This window comes from Homo sapiens, chromosome 4 (genome assembly GCF_000001405.40).
Source record: "Homo sapiens chromosome 4, GRCh38.p14 Primary Assembly".
In the NCBI taxonomy this organism is placed as follows: Eukaryota; Metazoa; Chordata; class Mammalia; order Primates; family Hominidae; genus Homo; species Homo sapiens.
Window position 1 is genome coordinate 175,741,744 of NC_000004.12, and position 17,684 is coordinate 175,759,427.

The 17,684-nt window shown below is 35.1% G+C and overlaps 1 protein-coding gene across 7 annotated transcripts in view, besides 1 other annotated feature; it reads right to left on the reverse strand.

Moving 5' to 3' along the window:
• Positions 1-17,684, reverse strand: part of GPM6A (glycoprotein M6A) — a 369,457-nt gene that overhangs the window by 108,807 nt on the left and 242,966 nt on the right. The window lies entirely within an intron of this gene.
• Positions 12,287-12,839: an enhancer, noted in NCBI's record as "NANOG hESC enhancer chr4:176675181-176675733 (GRCh37/hg19 assembly coordinates)". NCBI's record gives its function as "activates a minimal SCP1, AML or CMV promoter by ChIP-STARR-seq in primed H9 embryonic stem cells {active_cell/tissue: H9 hESC(primed)}" and the evidence as "EXISTENCE:reporter gene assay evidence [ECO:0000049][PMID:30033119]".

The following is a 17,684-nucleotide window of genomic DNA, read 5'->3' on the forward strand; positions in this document are numbered from 1 at the left end:
CATGGTAATTAGCATTTAGTTGGCGCTATTATATTCCATAATTTCTCAATTTCATAATGTGTTTTTTCACAACTTAATGTTTCTGGGATGTCTTATAATTATTGTATAATTTAGAGCAAAATGTCTTCTTTTTTCCTTGAAAATGTTTTGGTAAATTAATGACAGATCTTGCAATCAAGGGTAACTTAGAGTCAAAGCTACGCATTTATGGAAGGAAGAGAAAAAATGAGAGTTAAAGGTAAGAATTAAATTATTCTAACTAAAATTAAATGTGTTTATGGAACCAACTGATAAAAATATTTTATATCCATTATTTTACATAAAATAATTTAGAAAGTTTTTGAAAATAAAATATTTGGGAAAAAAATATTAAACTTTTCCTCTTAAGTGGATGAAATTGAAAGGGTAATTATTTCCCTAAGTTAATACCCAAATACTCATATTGCAATGTGGGACAGGAAGTCTATTCTGATTCCTAAGCTATATCATCCAAAATGTAAAATAATTCCTTCTCCTTTATGGTGGGTTGTTCTAGAGAATTCTAGAGTAGCTGTGAATTCTCTATTACATCATGGATCAGATCAGTTTGCAAAATGGCTCGCCTGCTTAAAATATAAACTAATTACCCAGCAACATTTATAAGACTGAGATGCCACATACAGAATAGAGCAATAATACATGGGCTTATCAGTGACTTTTCAAAATGTGCATTACCAAAAACTGAATTATACTGTTTACTTTTTATTACTTTATTTCATCCTCTTTCTATTGAATTTCACTGTATTAACAAACTCTATTATTCAGAAAAGAATACAGAAGTACACATCAGAAAATGGACATTTAGAGTCATGTACATTTAAGGCTCGGTTACTGGGTTTTTCACATTCAGTACAAAAACTGTTTCTTAGAATAAATTTCCTGCAGAAAACTATTTCAGGAATTTCAAAGCTAGCTATATACTAGAACATACACAAGAGCAGAAGTGATTTCGAAGAGGAATCAACGCACACTTGACATGAGGGGCCAAGCTTCTGAGAAGAGAATCAAGGAGAGCCCTAAATATGTTGAGAATACGAACGATGAAAGTCAAAGACATGATCTCCTTAAATAATTAATTATTTAGCCAGGCATGGTGGCTCATGCCTGTAATCCCAGCACTTAGGTAGGCAGATGTGGGAGGATAACTTGAGACCAGGGATTTGAGACTTGCCTGGGCAACATTGTAAGACCCCATTCGCCACAAAAAGAAAAAATAAATTAATAATAATTATTTCAAGTGTTAAAATATTTTGCAAGAACAAGAGCAGAAATAAAGACAACAAAATATTCTTTTTTTCTTTAGAAAGAAAAACATAAATGGAAAATAATGCCAGAAAGAAGGACAAGGAAGGGAAAATGAAAATCCTCAGAAGGGCTAAATCTGTGAGCAGATCTAGATTAACACTGATTAAAAAAAAAAGTATGTGGTTCAAAATATAAGTACAATTAACACAAATGTCCATAATAGTTCATGATGAGGTAGGCAGACAGAGTTAAAGTAGTGTAGATTCCAGTATAAAGTCTGGAAATTAGTACGTTTTATTTAAAGTCAACATAAATAACTTAAAAATTCATTTTGTGATCTCTTGGGGAACCACTAAGAACATTTTATAAAGGAATTAATACTAACAAACTAATAAAGAGGAAATACAAAAGATACAATTAATCCAAAATAAGCTACAAGAAGAAAAAAATGAATGAAAACCATACAAGAAAAATACAAGTACAAACTAAAAAGGTAGGCATGGACCTCGATTATTATTAATTAAACTAAATATAAATGCACTAAATACTTCAATTAAAAGACAAATGTGTCTGAAATAAAAACAATTTAAAAATAACTTTTACAATTTAAAAAATGCATTAAATATAAGGACACAAAAAGTTGAAAAAATAAAGCAGAAAAATGGCTTAGCATGCAAATACTAAACACTAGAAAATTCTGTGAGTATTCTGATATCAAAGTAAACATTAAGACAAAAATAATTGCTAAAAATAAAGAAGGACATTTCATCGACAGGCTTAATTCAAGAGAAAGAACACTTTTAAATATGTAGGCACCTAATTAAACAACATCAAGTATATAATGTAATAACTATCAGAATTGAAAGGAAAATGAACAAATGTAAAGTCATAGTTGAAGAGTTTAGCAGTTGTACATCAATATCTAATAGGACAAAAAAAAAAAAACAAAAGGTCAAGAAGGCTATAGAAGAGATGAACAAAAAGGTTAACAAACTGACCAAATTGACATTCATTTAAAACTGCAACCACAAGTTGCAGAATATACATTCTTATCAAATGCACACAGAATATTTACCAAAATAGGCCGTAGAGTAAGTAATAAACAAATGTGAAAATGTTTGAAATATACAATGTTTCCTCACCAAAGTGGAATTAAGTTACAAATAAAATTTTTAAAAGGAGGGGGAATATCCAAATATGTTCAATTTAAGCAATGTATTTCCAAATCACTTATGGGTCAAAAAGAAATCAAAAAGAAAATTAGAATGTACTTTGAATTAAATAATAATAAAAAGAGGGTATAGCTCCAAACTTCTGATATGTACTAAATCTGTGTTCCAGGGAAATTCATAGTCATAAATGCATAAATTTTAAAATAAGAAAGACTACAAGTCGATGATCTAAGCATCCACTTTAAGAAATTAGAAGAAAGAGAATAATAAAAATAAGATGGACAATCAATATAATATAAAAATTTAAAACTCAAAATTTAAAAATATCTAATGCTATTTTTAAAACAATTAATATTGGATTAGCTCCTTTAGATTTTTCTTTTTTAAAAAATAGCCCAATATCAATTAACTTTCTGGAGTTTGGGAAGAAAAAATAATAACACATGTAAAAGCCTTCAACAGTCCCTGGCACATACCGTGTACTCAAAAGATTTTAGTTTGTCTCCCATTCACTTTTCCCTAGCAGATAAACATTGAAACCTTCAACGTTAGCTGTCCATCAATACAAAACACTCTAGTAGAAAGAAACCTTCTTTTTCTCTGAAATTAAAATACATCTCCCACTTCTGGGTCCAATGTTCTGATATTACTTTTTAATTTGTACTGGAAGTATCAGGGAGGCTGAGAAGGAATGGATAGGAATTATGTGTATTTATTGCAGGAAATATAAATTGTTAAACATAATAAAAAGAAAAAGGACAGGAAAGTAAGCAATTTGCCAGGTGCTCAATTCATCTTTTCATTATCCCTTTTCTCTGAAAGGAAAGTGCAAATCGTTTTCCTTTTTGTGACACTGTCTTATCTACTGCAGGAGCCATAAAGATGAAGATAAGAAAGAAATACTCTGAGAGTATCATGATAAAAAATCAGAAAAAAAACATGAAATACCAGATTTTTTTACAGCATACACAAAATATTCATGCGCTAAATGTAAATCTGTTATCCTGACATACATTAAGTGTCTGCTTTTTAAACATCGCCTAAGACTACAGGTATTGGGTTCATTTTGGAGACCTGAGAATATTATTCAGCAGTAGCTTAACAAATTTCAGTGAAAAATTAAGCAGATGAAAGTGTTTTCTTGGGCCACTTCCTCCATATGTGAGTTGGCTGCAGCTGCCATTGTACTTACTTTGCATGTTTAATTTGCAAATTAGCAATTGAGAAAGATAAAAAACATGAGCTTTGTTCTGTTCAGTTAAACAAACATTTGTTGCCCACCATGTGCCAAGCATTGGGCTGGATGCTAGAAGAACCCAGATGAATGAGAGCAAGTCCCTGCCTCAAAAGACCTAGTGTACTTGGCAGGGAGGCTGCCAAGTCTTCCAACCAGGATGACACAAATGTGTGGTTCACAGAAATCCTCATAACGAGAACATTATAATTATTCCTAGGATGCATAAGAATCACTCAACTATGGAAAGATAAGATTGGCAGAAAGTGCAAAATAACCAAATACACAAAATATTCAACATGCTGTGGGGAGAGAAATAACATCACCACTGATATTACCAAGGTGTACGTTGCGAAGTAAGAAAAAATGTTATCTGAGGCTGGAGAAGGAGATGGGGGTCAAGTTGGGAAGACTTCTTCATGTGAACAAGTTTGAGTCTTATTTATTCAGAGTGGCATAGTCAGATTTATATTTTAGAGAGATCACGCTGTTTATAGTGTGAATGTGGATTTAAGCTGGGACAAGGCTTGAGGCAAAGAAATAAGGTGTCACCTTTAATAGCCCAAACCAGAGATGACCAGGGTTCTCATTAGGACCTTAGAATGAGTGGCAAGAGTAAATAAAAGAAAATCAATTCATCACCTGCTAAACTGAAAGTGGACATTTTGAGCACTTCCAGACAAAAAGGCTAAAATTTCTATGTAATTCATATGAACAACAGCTTTCCCCAAAAACCATACATTCCGATTCAGAAAGTATGCATTCTAGATTGCTAAAAGGGAGAGAATTAGTATGTGATGGGGGAAACATTATGAAAAACAAGAAACATGATCTAAACAGGGGCATTGTAGAATCACTTTCTGCAGCTCCTCTTGACTAGGAGTTTTGTTAATTCTGTAGTAAAAAAGTATTAACAGTTATGATGTTAACTTCATTTTGCACATCTTGGGTTGCCAATACATTAACCTGTATATAAATGTACAAAATTATGTTCAATTATTCTGCACCAATGCTTTGTGTGTTCTCTTAAAAGACCAGATTTAAAATCTAATTTTTTTTAAATTTAAAGATCAAAATCTGCAGCAAAAAATGGCATTTGGAATTCTTATAGGTAAGTTTCTGAAGTGTGTAACCCATCATAATTAGAATCAAGCTCCTCATACCCAAAATGAGTAGATCCAAATATCTCTACCCTTTAGAGAATGGATCATTTTTGTCCAAGGACTTTGATTTTGTATTTCTAAACCTATGCCAAATCTGATTTGGTCTTAAAAAAACAAAGAGTTTCTTAGATCAACTAGATGATAAGGCTATCTTCTGAAAACCTTAAATGCTAGACATAAGGAGAGTTCGGGCTTCACAAACTGATGTGTGTTTATCTCTGTGGATTATCAATATAATAACTGAACTGAAAATCGGGAAGTGAACCTTGTTGCTTTGTGTGATGATTAGCAAGTACTATAATTTGGAAAATTGTAACCCATTAAGAAGATAGTCTAAATCTCTTGTCATGCACACACTGCAATACTCAAATACATTTTTAAAGAAAGAAACCTAGGCTGGCATGGTGGCTCACGCCTGTAATCCCAGCACTTTAGGAGGCTGAGGTGGGTGGATCACAAGGTCAGGAGGTCGAGACCATCCTGGCCAACATGGTGTAACCCTGTCTCTACTAAAAATGCAAAAATTAGCTGGGCGTGGTGACACGTGCCTGTAATCCCAGCTACTTGGGAGGCTGAGGCAGGAGAATCGCTTGAACCGAGGTGGCAGAAGTTGCAGTTAGCCGAGATTGTGTCACTACACTCCAGCTTGGTGACAGAGCAAGACTCCATCTCCAAAAAAAAAAAAAAAAAAAAAAGAAGGAACCCTAAGACATAGTATTTTTCATTGCTGTCATAATAAGACTGAATTAAATATTACATCATTATGAGGGAGTATGAAATACAGGAATACTGCTATACATACAGTAGTATGCACTATGCTTTAAATAGCTCTAAATATCTTTCAAACATATTCCAAGATATTGTGGGTTCCATTCCAGCCCATTACAATAATGTGAATATTGTAATAAAGTGAGTCACACACATATTTTTTGAGTTCTCAGTGAATATGTTATGTTTACACTATCCTGTAGTCTATAAAATATGCAATAGCATTATGTCTAAAAAACAATGTATATACTTTAATTTAAAAATCCTTCCTAAAAACTGCTAGCGATCATCTGAGCCTTCAGCAAGTCTTAATCTTTTTGCTGGTGGAGGGGCTTGCTTAGACGTTCATGGCTGCTAACAGATCAGGGTGGTGGTTGCTGAAGGTTAGGGTGGCTGTGTCAATTTCTTAAAATAAGACAACAGTGAAGTTTGCCACATTGATTAACTATTCCTTTCACAAAAGATTTCTCTGTAGCACATGATACTGTTTGATAGCATTTTACCCATCAAACTTCTTTCAAAATTGGAGTCAATCCTCTCAAACCCTGCTGCTACTTTATCAACTAAATTTAAATAATATTCTAAATTTTTACAATATCTTTGCCAAGAATAGATTCTATCTCAAGAAAACTTTTTTCATTCATAAGAAGCAACTCTTCATCCACTCAAATTTTATCGTGAGATTGTAGCAATTCAGTCACATCTTCAGGCTCCATTTCTGATTCTAGTTCTCTTGTTCTTTCCTCTATATCTGCAGTTACTTCTGCACTGAAGTCTTGAACCCCTCAAAGTCACCCACGAGGGTTGGAATCAACTTCTTTCAAAGTCCTGTTAATGTCGATGTTTTGACCTCCTACCGTGAATAATGAAAATGTTCTTAATGGCACCTAGATTGGCGAATACTCTCCTGAAAGTTTTTAATTGATGTTGCCCAGATATATGAGAGAAATCTCTACCTACGGCAACTAGTCTTACAAAATGTATTTCTTAAATAATAAGGTTTGAAAGTTGAAATTACTCCTTGATCCACGGGTTTCAAAGCAGATGTTGTATTAGCAGGCATGAAAACATTAATTGCCTTGTACTTCTCCCTCAGAGCACTCGGGTGACAAAGTACATTGTCAGTGAGTAGTGATATTTTAAAATACATCATTTTTTTCTGAGCAGTAGGTGTCAACAGTGGGCTTAAAATATCCAGTAAACCATGCCATAAACAGATGTGCTGTCACCTTTGTTATTCTGTTTATAGAGCACAGACAGAGTAGATTCAGCATAATTCTTCAGGGCCCCGAGATTTTTGGAGTGATAAATAAACATTAAAGTTACCAGCTGCATTAGTCCCTAACAAGAGAGTCAGCCTGTCCTTTGAAACTTTGAAGCCAGGCATTGACTTCTCCTCTACAGCTATGAAAGTCCTACAGGACATCTTCCAATATAAGGCAATATAAGGATGTTTTGTCTATTGAAAATCTCTTGTTTAGTGTAGCCACCTCCATCAATGTTCTTAGCTAGATCTTCTGGATAACCCACTGCAGCTTCTACATTAGTACTTGTTGCTTCACCTTACAATTTTTATGGAAATAGCTTCTTTTCTTAAACCTCATAAATGAAGATCTGCTAATTTCCATCTTCTCTTCTTTAACTTCCCCCCACCTCAATCAGCCTTCACAGAATTAAAGAAAGTTAGAACCTCTCTTCTGGGAGTTGGATAGGAAAATGGCTGAAGCAGTGAGAACACATACAACTTTTATTAACTATGCTGTCTTATATGAGTATAGTTTATGGCACCTTAAAATAATATAGTATTAGATTGGTGCAAAAGTAATTGCAGTTTTTGCCAAAAAAAAGGTAATGGCAAAAACTGCAATAACTTTTGCATTAACCTAATAACTTTGATAATCACTGATCGCAGATCACCATAACAAATATAATAATAATGAAAAAGTTTGAAATATTGTGAGAAATATCAAATGTAATACCAAGAAATGAAGTGAGCACATGTCAACAGTGAGCTGTTGGAAAAATGGTGTTAACAGACTTGCTGGACACGGTTGCCACAAACCTTCAATTTATAAAAAATGCACTGTCTGCAAAGGCTATTAAGTTAAGCATAATAAAATAAGATGAAGTCTGCATGTGTAAATAAATGTAATATTTAACTTTAAAGCATACAGAAGATAGCTTTAAAATGTATAGTAATGTGTTCTTTGGTATCGTTTATATAACTTACATTTTGATATGTTTCATTTCTCTGCTCAAATATCGAAGCAGGGTATAACTTTATATCTTGACCCCCATAACCACATATTTCTGTAGGACACCACTTACGAAGAATGCATATGTAAAAAGCGATGGATGTCATCAAATCACCCTTACTTTTTTATATTTACATAAAATGTCATGATAATCAGGGTGTGAGTTCCTCTTTAGACATCCTTCTGAGAACTATTTTATGACAACTTCCCCACAACTGATAGGCCAGCATGAGTTGTCAAGAGAATGGAAAAGCTGCCCCCACATCATCTATGCCTTCTGTGTCCTTTGTGGTCTAACTACATCCTCCAGGTCCTGCCATTTCACACTTGGCCTATGTGCAATGTTCCCAAAGCTTTAGCCATTTCATTTTGTACATAAAGATCAGATTCCACAACTGCATTCTGTTAAAAATGTCCTCTAATCTTTATTCGAAGTGAACCTATTGCTTTTTTTTTTGAGATGGAGTCTCACTTTGTTGCCTAGGCTGGAGGGCAGTGTAGCAATCTCGGCTCACTGCAACCTCTGCCTCCCAGGTTCAACCGATTCTCCTGCCTCAGTACCCCCAGTAGCTGGGATTACAGGCGCATGCCACCACACCCTGCTAATTTTGTATTTTTATTAGAGATGGGGTTTCACCATGCTGGCCAGGCTAGTCTGGAACTCTTGACCTCAGGTGATCCACCCGCCTTGGCCTCTTAAAGAGTTGGGATTACAGGTGTGAGCCACCACACCTGGCCCTAAGTGAGCCTATTTCTAAACCAAAGCATGGACCTTGAGACTAATGAGGGTAATGATGTCTAGGGGCCCAGACTTTAATGTGTACCGGAGCACTCTTAGATTGAAAAGTAGAGGATTTCCTGAGAGATTCTAGAGACAAAGTTAACATGGTAACATGGAGGAGGTTATAAAAGAAAGTGTATGTATATTAAGAGTTAAGAGTTGGGTTTTTCTATTTTAGCTTCCTTTTTTTTGACAGGGGTCTGGCTCTGTCGCCAAGGCTAGAGTGTGGTGGACCAATCTTGGCTCACTGCAACCTCCACCTCCCGGGTTCAAGAGATTCTCCAGCCTCAGCCTCCTGAGTAGCTAGGATTATAGGCATGTGCTACCATGCCCAGCTAATTTCCTGTATTTTTAGTAAAGATATAGTTTCTCCATGTTGGCCGGGCTGGTCTCAACTCCTGACCTCAAATGATCTGCCCACCTCAGCCTCCCAAAGTGCTGGGATTACAGGCATGAGTCACCACGCTGAGGCTATTTTACTACAGCCTCCTAACTAAAGCTTTTAAAATAGTTCCAGATGAAATCCAAAGCAAAATATCATTATAATTATAATCTTCAGGGAAATTCGTTTATTCGCAGATAAAGTATATGTGTTGCCTTCTCAGTAATAAACATCATAGATTAAATTGTAATACATTGCAAATGTGAGACTTGAGATGATATGATCAGCAGAAGGGGGAAAAAAGATGTGCATAATCTTGTATACAATTTATATTCTAAATGTCTGAATACACTAACAAAAATTCAAATACAGCAAAATAAAATGCTTTAAAGAGTCATAAAAATGAATATGAGGATATGATAGCATTTAGTATCATAGAGAATGTAGAAGACATGAAATATCATAAAATATAAAATATAGACAGAAAACTGATTGCATAAAATAATTACATTTAGGACATATGAAATGAAAATCATGGAAATTACAGTCAATCAGTAAAATTATTTTCTTAAATTTCTCCTTAATACCTAGAATGGCAACTTATTTTCCCAAGGATACTGTAGGAAAAATATTCTTTTGTTTATTTTTTGTCACTAATCTTATGATAATTTAACTGTATAAACTAACCATATATTACTGTAATATTGAACATGTTTATATTCAGCAAATTTCTTAGACTCCACAGGGTTAAATGATGCTATCTATAATAAGAACACCTGTATTAACTTGGGGTTTCTGGAGAGAGAGAGGAGCTTTTTCCAGCCGACTTGCCAAAAAGCTGAATCTATTCTGTGCAAACTATATGACAGATCATTCTGGAAAACTGAGAGCTAATGTAGTATTACATGTGGTTATACCATGGACAGTTGATAGAGAATGACCCGGAGTCACACGATGCACCTGTTTTTTTTTTTGTTGTTGTTGTTTGTTTTTTGGTTTGTTTGTTTGTTTTACAATTCAAGGAAAATGAAATTGTATTTCATCATGGAGAGGAAAAAAAGGAAAATTTTTAAACATTGGAGAAAATATAATTGAGGGAGCAAGTTAAAGTAAATGTTATCCTTACAAATAATGGCTGACAGAATTTGCTCTATTTTTGAGAGCATTGTTAAAACAAAACAAACAAACAAAACAGGAGTCAATTGATGTTAGCTCCTTCTTCCCTGGCATTTTTTATCCTGGGTTCCAGTCTTGTCTAATGGTACCAGGAAGTACCTAATTGCTGAAAACTATGGAACCTTCCTGTTTTTCTCTTTTTTCAACATTTCCACATACTAATTCAGTCTGGTCTACCTAGTAATTTTATATAATTGTGGATCATTTCTTACTTAGGAAGATCATTCCTTCTATCATCATTTCTTGCATAGAGTGTTGCCTTCTAACTAGTCCAAGATGATGGTTTGAAAGTGAAATATTTTCAAATCCCTGTTCTTTGTGGAGCTCTTTAGTGTCCTTTTGGCCTTCCTGTGACCCTGATGTTATAATCTAAGCCTGCTGGTGGACAGCACACTAAACAGTTCCCTGATTTAGGAAGTGTATCTGCAAGGCCGAGCCTTTTTCCGTGCTGTCCTTTCTACTTGGAACTCTCCCATGTTTGCCTAATTATTGTCTCCTGGTCTTTCAAACCAGTCACACTTGGTCCCTTCATCTTCCTCAAGCAAAATGTGGTGATCCCTCCTCTATGCTCTAAAAAAGTCGGCTCCAAGAAGGAAGAATTATGCCAAAGAAAAAGCCTACAAGAAGACATATTTCCAGAGTTTGAAGGTTGGTTTCAAGTCCTTGACTGCTAAGAATATCCACTTTTGACACATAATAAAGCAAACCAGCCTTTATTTCTATCTTCTTCTATTTGCTTATATATCTCTTACATGAAATTAAAGGACAAAGACCTCTTCCTGCCTTTTAAACTGTGTTCTGGAGCATCTCCAAGTTGGTTATGCCATCTTCCTCTCTTAAAAGGGATTTGGGGCATAATCTGAATAGTGAGACAAGGCAACAGCTTACTTCATGAAGCTGTGTTAAGGCTCCATCTGCAGAGAGTGAGACGACTCTGTCCAATGGTTCGAAAGGAAAACGTCATGCTTGACAACGTGTGAACAACTAAAGACAGAATGTTCTCTAGTTTTAGGAAGAATCATTTAATCAATTCCATTAGTATTCCCATGCGCTGAAACATAGTGTCTACATTTCCCATATGGGACACAGAGTTAAAACCCACAGGGATGAATTCATTTCCAGAGATCTGCAACTTTATCGTTTTGTCTGTTACAATACATGAAACAATCCCAGCGATTTTCAACATCATTAATATTTGATGTTCCATGTTCGATATACTTCAGTTATTCTTAACCAGAAAAAGAGTTTAATTTTACCATGAAACATATATCTACATAAGCTAAAAATAATACTTAGTGATGTTTCATATTTATTATGAGAAAGCTGTTCAAAATGATGAGAAAGCTGTTCAAAATGATCAGAAAGAAATTATAAAGATACTAACACAGTCAGGTTAATAAAAGTCACATATGTATAGAGAAAGCATAGGCATATTATTAACTTAGATTGCAAATAAAAATATCAAAGCAAAATGGACTGCAGATAATGATGTTTTATGGATGAAAATAGGAATGCAATTTTAAAAGGAATCCAACAAGTAAACAGTTGTAGCTGAATTGATAAACTCTGAAACAATGTGTTTTTACCTTCATAAAGTTCCCTAGTTGAGGTCCCAGTTATCACCCTCCCTTCACTACATGGGAAATTGTATTCTTTGGCATTTATATTCTAATTCTTCTTTATATTCCAGCAAATTATTTGCCCCCTCATATTTTAAACTAACAGCCTCCTTAATGGTCTTCCAAATTCTGCTTTCTTTACTTTCCAACCCAGCATGCACACAATTTTGACATATTTTTCTAGAAATCCTATTTCCATTTTTAGTGTATGAATCAACTAAAATACAAGTTACTTTGTAAGGACCTATGTTAATGTCCAACAATTTGATCATGGTGTGCCTTCTCCATCAAGCATCAGCCTTTAGGTGCTCCATCATCTACTGTTCCCTTAGCAATGGTACCCCAACACATACCAACGCACCAGGTAGGTCCAATCTTCATAAAGGGAGAGAGCATTTTCTCCTCAGAGTTTTACTTATGTCAATTACTCCAACTAGAAAAATCTATGCTCCAATCTATCAATTCACTTGTTCCTAATTCACCTATTAAAAGTATTACCAAATCACTATTTTTCAACATATCTTAATAAGTAAATATTTCAATGACTTCTTAGTCCTAATCCCTTCCCATGCCCTGCTAATTCCCACTAAAACACTGAGTGAACTGTGGTTGAAAATAATGACTATTGGCTAGATGCATGGGTATGTGCCTGGCTGGCTGAATCAACAGTCTCCTTGATATGCTCAAGTTAGTTGGCTTAAGTGACAATAACAACAACAACAATAACAAGATCCTTGGTTTAAGGGAGAGGGATTAAGGTATTGAAAGGTGGATGTTTAACACATGAAAAGTAGATCCTTTTGATCCCAAAAGTAACTTCTCAGCAAAAAAAGATAAAAGAACATCTAAGGATAAAAATATCCCAAACTTCTAACTCTCTATATACAAATGGGTTCATGTTAAATTTGTATTTCTATTTACATAATTTAAACACATTGTGTTCAATTGCAAAGCTCTAACCTAAGTAGGAATAGTAATCCCAAAATGCTCAATGTTAAACTTTAGGACTACATTGTTTGTAGGTATTTTCTTTCAAAGTTCATGGTTATTTACTTCTAAGCACAATAACACTCAAAGTAAAGGAGGAATGATAGCCAAGGCCAGTATCTAGAAGTACATTCACATTTGTTTTACCTACAAATAGAATGCATAATCCAGGGACACAGACAAGGCTAGTGTAGAGCTGTAAATTATTTATCTAATTAAAATAGAGATAATTCTTCTGCCTTCATCTTCTCAGCTATTTATTCCAGATGTCAGTGCACAACCATTCTATTCCAACAACAAAGTGAAATATTCATTGATTTGATATTCCTGTTGCTCTAAAGCAAATACATCTCAATTTCTGTGTCCTTTCCTTCCTTCCTCTCTCCCTCTGTCTACTCCCCCCACAACACACACGCACACAATTACACATTTTGTAGGCACTTTTCAACTATGTCTCAAGAATTAAAGAAAAAAATCTTCAAAAAAATTTTTTTGTGTAATTTGAACATTATAATATCATAAGGGAAAAATAAAACATTTAACCTTTCTTAATTCAAACACTTTCACACTTGTATCATAACAACATACAGACCCAAGGAAATACAACTGGTTGTTGTTACAGAAGAAAAAAGAGAATAATAATAATGTAGAAACAATGTGGCATTTCTGGTTGACAATGTGATAACTGTACTAAAAGATGTCTTAAATGAAAAAAAATAAACAAATATGGTATCCTTAGCTATACCTAAAATAACTTCTATTTTCTTCTCTGTAATTACATGAATGCTACAGAATTAACATTTTAAGGTTTCAAATGCAGTCAGAAAGACTAAACATAAAATTTACCTTATAGCTTTCAAGAAGCAAAAGAGATTTTTCAATTCTAAAATGAATCTCTGTAATCATGCAATCAATAATAATATTTTCAAGAATTAAGGTTCAGGGTATCTGAAATGTTTATTTATGTTCTAACACATTAAATAGGAAATAAGAAAAACTAACTCATTTTCCTTAATGTAAAACTTCAATCTAGTGGTAAAGAAAGTATAAATTTGCTTCTATTTCAAAATTGCATAAAAAAGTTTCCTCCAATTACGTTGGTAGTACTTACTTCTCTGCAAGCCCAACAGACAATTGCCTGGGAATAGCATTCACACACAACCTGTGTTGTAGGTAATTATGTAGTGTTCCTGGATGAGTCAAATATTCATGTAATCCACCTACCTAGGTCAAATGAATGAATTTCTATTTCCATTCATCAGCATTTTACTTGATGGCTTCTGTGTGTCAGTGACTACAACGATCTCAGGAGATTTGGAAAGAGTAAGTCATAGTCATTGACATCACAAGACCTGCAGACTATGAGGAGAGAAAACTGAAGACAGAAAGGCAAACCAAAAAAGGCAAGCTTTGTATTGAGCCTTGAAAAATTAGTTGCTGTTCAGTAGGTAAGAAAGAAGAGGAGGAGAGAAGATTTCAAGGCTGATCATATCACTATAGGAGCTAAGGTCTGATGTGTTAGGAATTTCAAGTTATTTAGGTGATTAAGATCTAGCATGTTCTGGAAGGTGTTAGGTGTGGTGGTGGAGGGAGTGGTAAGACTTAAGGAAAGAAGAGAGAGTAGGGTTATGTTGCAAGGTAGTAAGGAGCCACTGAAGGATCCTAAGCATAGGAGGCATATGCTCACACTTGCATTTTGGGAAGAATGCTCTGGAAGCTCTCTGAAGGATGGGTTTCTGATGGAGTGATGGAAAGAATGGTGAAAACATAGAGATTAGCAACACAGTTCAGTAAAGGAATGACAAGAGTTGAGTTATGGCTGTAGCAATGGCGAGGCAGAATATATGGCAATCTTGAAAGGTTTTAAAAGTTAGACTCCATGAAACAGTCTGGCTGGTTTCATGTTGTGTGTGAGGGAAGAAAAGAACTCCAAATTACTGACAGTACTTTGTTTATGAGACTAAGGTATGGTGGAACCATTCATTGGGTTTGACAGGATAGGACATGGAGCCAGTAGAAGGAAAAGCACAGACAGACATAAATTTGAGCTGTCACTGGGACGTAAAAGCAGACATATCTAATGGGCAGAATGATGTGTAATCTAGAAGAAGATCTCAGAACTAGGTATATGAACTTATAAAACACCTGTACACGGTGGAATAAACACACTAAATAATATATGCAATCATTAATAGTCATGCACTTCGAATTAGTATTAAAAATACTCTAGGTGATAAGCAATAGAAGGACAAGTAAAATCAATTGCCCCTTTGATAAAATACTGACATCTCAAAGTAAATTGAGATCGTAAGCAGACAAGGCAACTCTGGGGATAAAGAGAATATTAGTTATCTTATGAAGAAAGAGGAGCTAGGTAATGAAGGCAAATATGGGGCAATGGGTGGGTTTAAGAAGGCGAACTGGAGGCTACCTCTGGGAATGTGTAGCAGCTAGTCTCCACGATGACTCCCAGGGATGCTTGGGGTATTCATGCCCTTAGATAGTCTCCTCCAGCATTGCATTAGGTGTTATCTGTGTGACCAATTGGATGTGACAGAGGTGACAGTGTGCCCCTCCTGAGGCCAGGTTATACAGGGGAGTGCTGCTTCAGTCACCCTAGGAGAAGTCAGAGCGAAGCTATGAGGAGGCACAGGCATTCCCGTCTAAACACACACATGGAGAGAAACTGAGGACTCCCCCTGAGAGCCAGCACCAGCCATGAGCAGGTGAATGAATCACCTTGGAAGTGGATGCTCCAACCCTGCCAGAACTGCCTATGACTACAGCCACCATTCACATTTTATTTCAGTCTCATTAAGGACCCCAATTCAGAACCGTCTAGCCAAGCCACTCCCAAATTCCCGGCCCACAGTAATCGTGGGATATAAAAATGTTCGTTGTTGCTTTATGTCACTAAAATGTATTACGCCTGGATAAGTAACTAACAAGCACAATCATGATCAGTTACTCAAATGGGGAATATACATAGTTCCACTAGTGCTTTTAGCAAAGACTAGGTTCAAAATGAATGTTCTCAACATAAAGTGTATTTCTTAGCAAGGAATGTAACAACCCATCATGTACACAATCAGAGATTGGGTAAATTGGTTTTTAAGACTTAATTTTAAAGTTCAAGGAAAAAGACATGTAATGAGAAGAGTATCTGAGAGAATCATATGCTCATTAGAAAGCATTACCACGAGACCAAAGAGAGGGAGCAGCCCTGTATCCAAGAAGGAAGAAGGGTAACACTTGGTTGACTGAACAAAGAACCATTCATAGAACCCGAATAAGTATAAAAATGTACAGATAATAACATGTTTGAACAGATTAGCCAAGAAATGGAATTAAAAGTAGGTTAAAAGCCTAATATCATGATAAAATAAAACTGCAGTGACATAATTGTAAATATGTTATGTAACCTAACATTTACAACCAAAGCAGAAGAATGGAGAAGTAAGTGCCATCACACAATGGAAGAAGTTCAGTTCCTGGAGTAGGAAAGGCCTCTGCCAGTTGTGGCCCTTCACTTCCCCAGGGAGTGATCCAAAGTAACCCATTGAACCTCTCCAAATCTCTGTTTCCTAAATTAACCAGAGTCATCTGTAAGAGTTACTGTAAGAATTAACATTTGTATTACTTATTTTAAAACATACAACACAGGGCTGGGACAAAAAAATGCTTAGTAAGCAATATATTCTCTTGTTTATTCCATTTCTTTTTTAAAAATTGGAAAAAATATAAAGTGCCATAAGAAAATCAAGGTATTTTGCTTTCTCAACAGTAGCATTTTTACGAAAATGGATAACAACTTTTAAGACATCAATAAGGAATAGCAAGTGATATGATGAAAGTCGTAAGTTTAGCCAGATTCAATTAAATCTGTTGGCTTCACCAATTCCAAGCATATGATTATGTATGTAAAATAGCTTTCTAACTGTAATGCACTGCCTAAATGTGGAGTGTTATTTAGGAGACACTGGCAGAGAGTGTCAATTGATCCACCAGTGAGTAAATAGCAAATTAAATCTAAAAATGACCGTTTTTTATAGATGCTAAAAGGAACATTGAGAAAATTTATTTAGATTTACAGAAACAAAGAATGTTTTTCCAAGATTGTTCCTGGGGTTGTAACAGTAGGAAAGTCCTAGTACATAAAAATAAATACAAGATGCTGACTACATCCTGCTGTCCTCTACTGAGGCACAGCAGGGGATACAAAATCACACACTGAACATGCAGTTTACCTCCAGTGCCCAGGAGGCGGTCAGCTTTCAATTTTGTTTTTAAAAGGGATTGCAACATCAAGTTTTATTTCCAAATTCATGCTAATTTATGCAAGGCAGACAGCCTCTTCCATTTTGTGGCAAAATGAAGTCACAAAAATTGCTAGAATCTACTCTCCTTGAGACCTCAGCTGTTTTCAGTGTCTAGCATGCAGCACACAGTTATACTATTCTAAAAAACAATATTGTGCAAAATTAAATCTTTAGTTCATGCAATCAGCCATTCAAAAACTATTAAGTGTCCATTGAGTGCCAGCAAGTCAGGTTACAGATGCTCTTGAAGGCATTTCTGAGACCGCAAATCTCACTGTTAGTGTCTGAATACAGTGTCCAGTTATTTGCTGTGTGTAGCTGTATGGGTTTTTCATAAGTGGTTATCTGCCTCATGATGATGGTTTTGTGATTTTGATAAAGGGAAACCAAACTAAACAGGGGTTTGAGGAATACGGGGGGGGCAAGAGAAAATAGTGATTTCAATTATACGTAGATAATTCTTCAAGACAACTTAGCATTAAAAATCAAATATCAAGACAATAAGAGGTTAAACTGTAAAAGGCATAAAATTTTCTTTACCCTT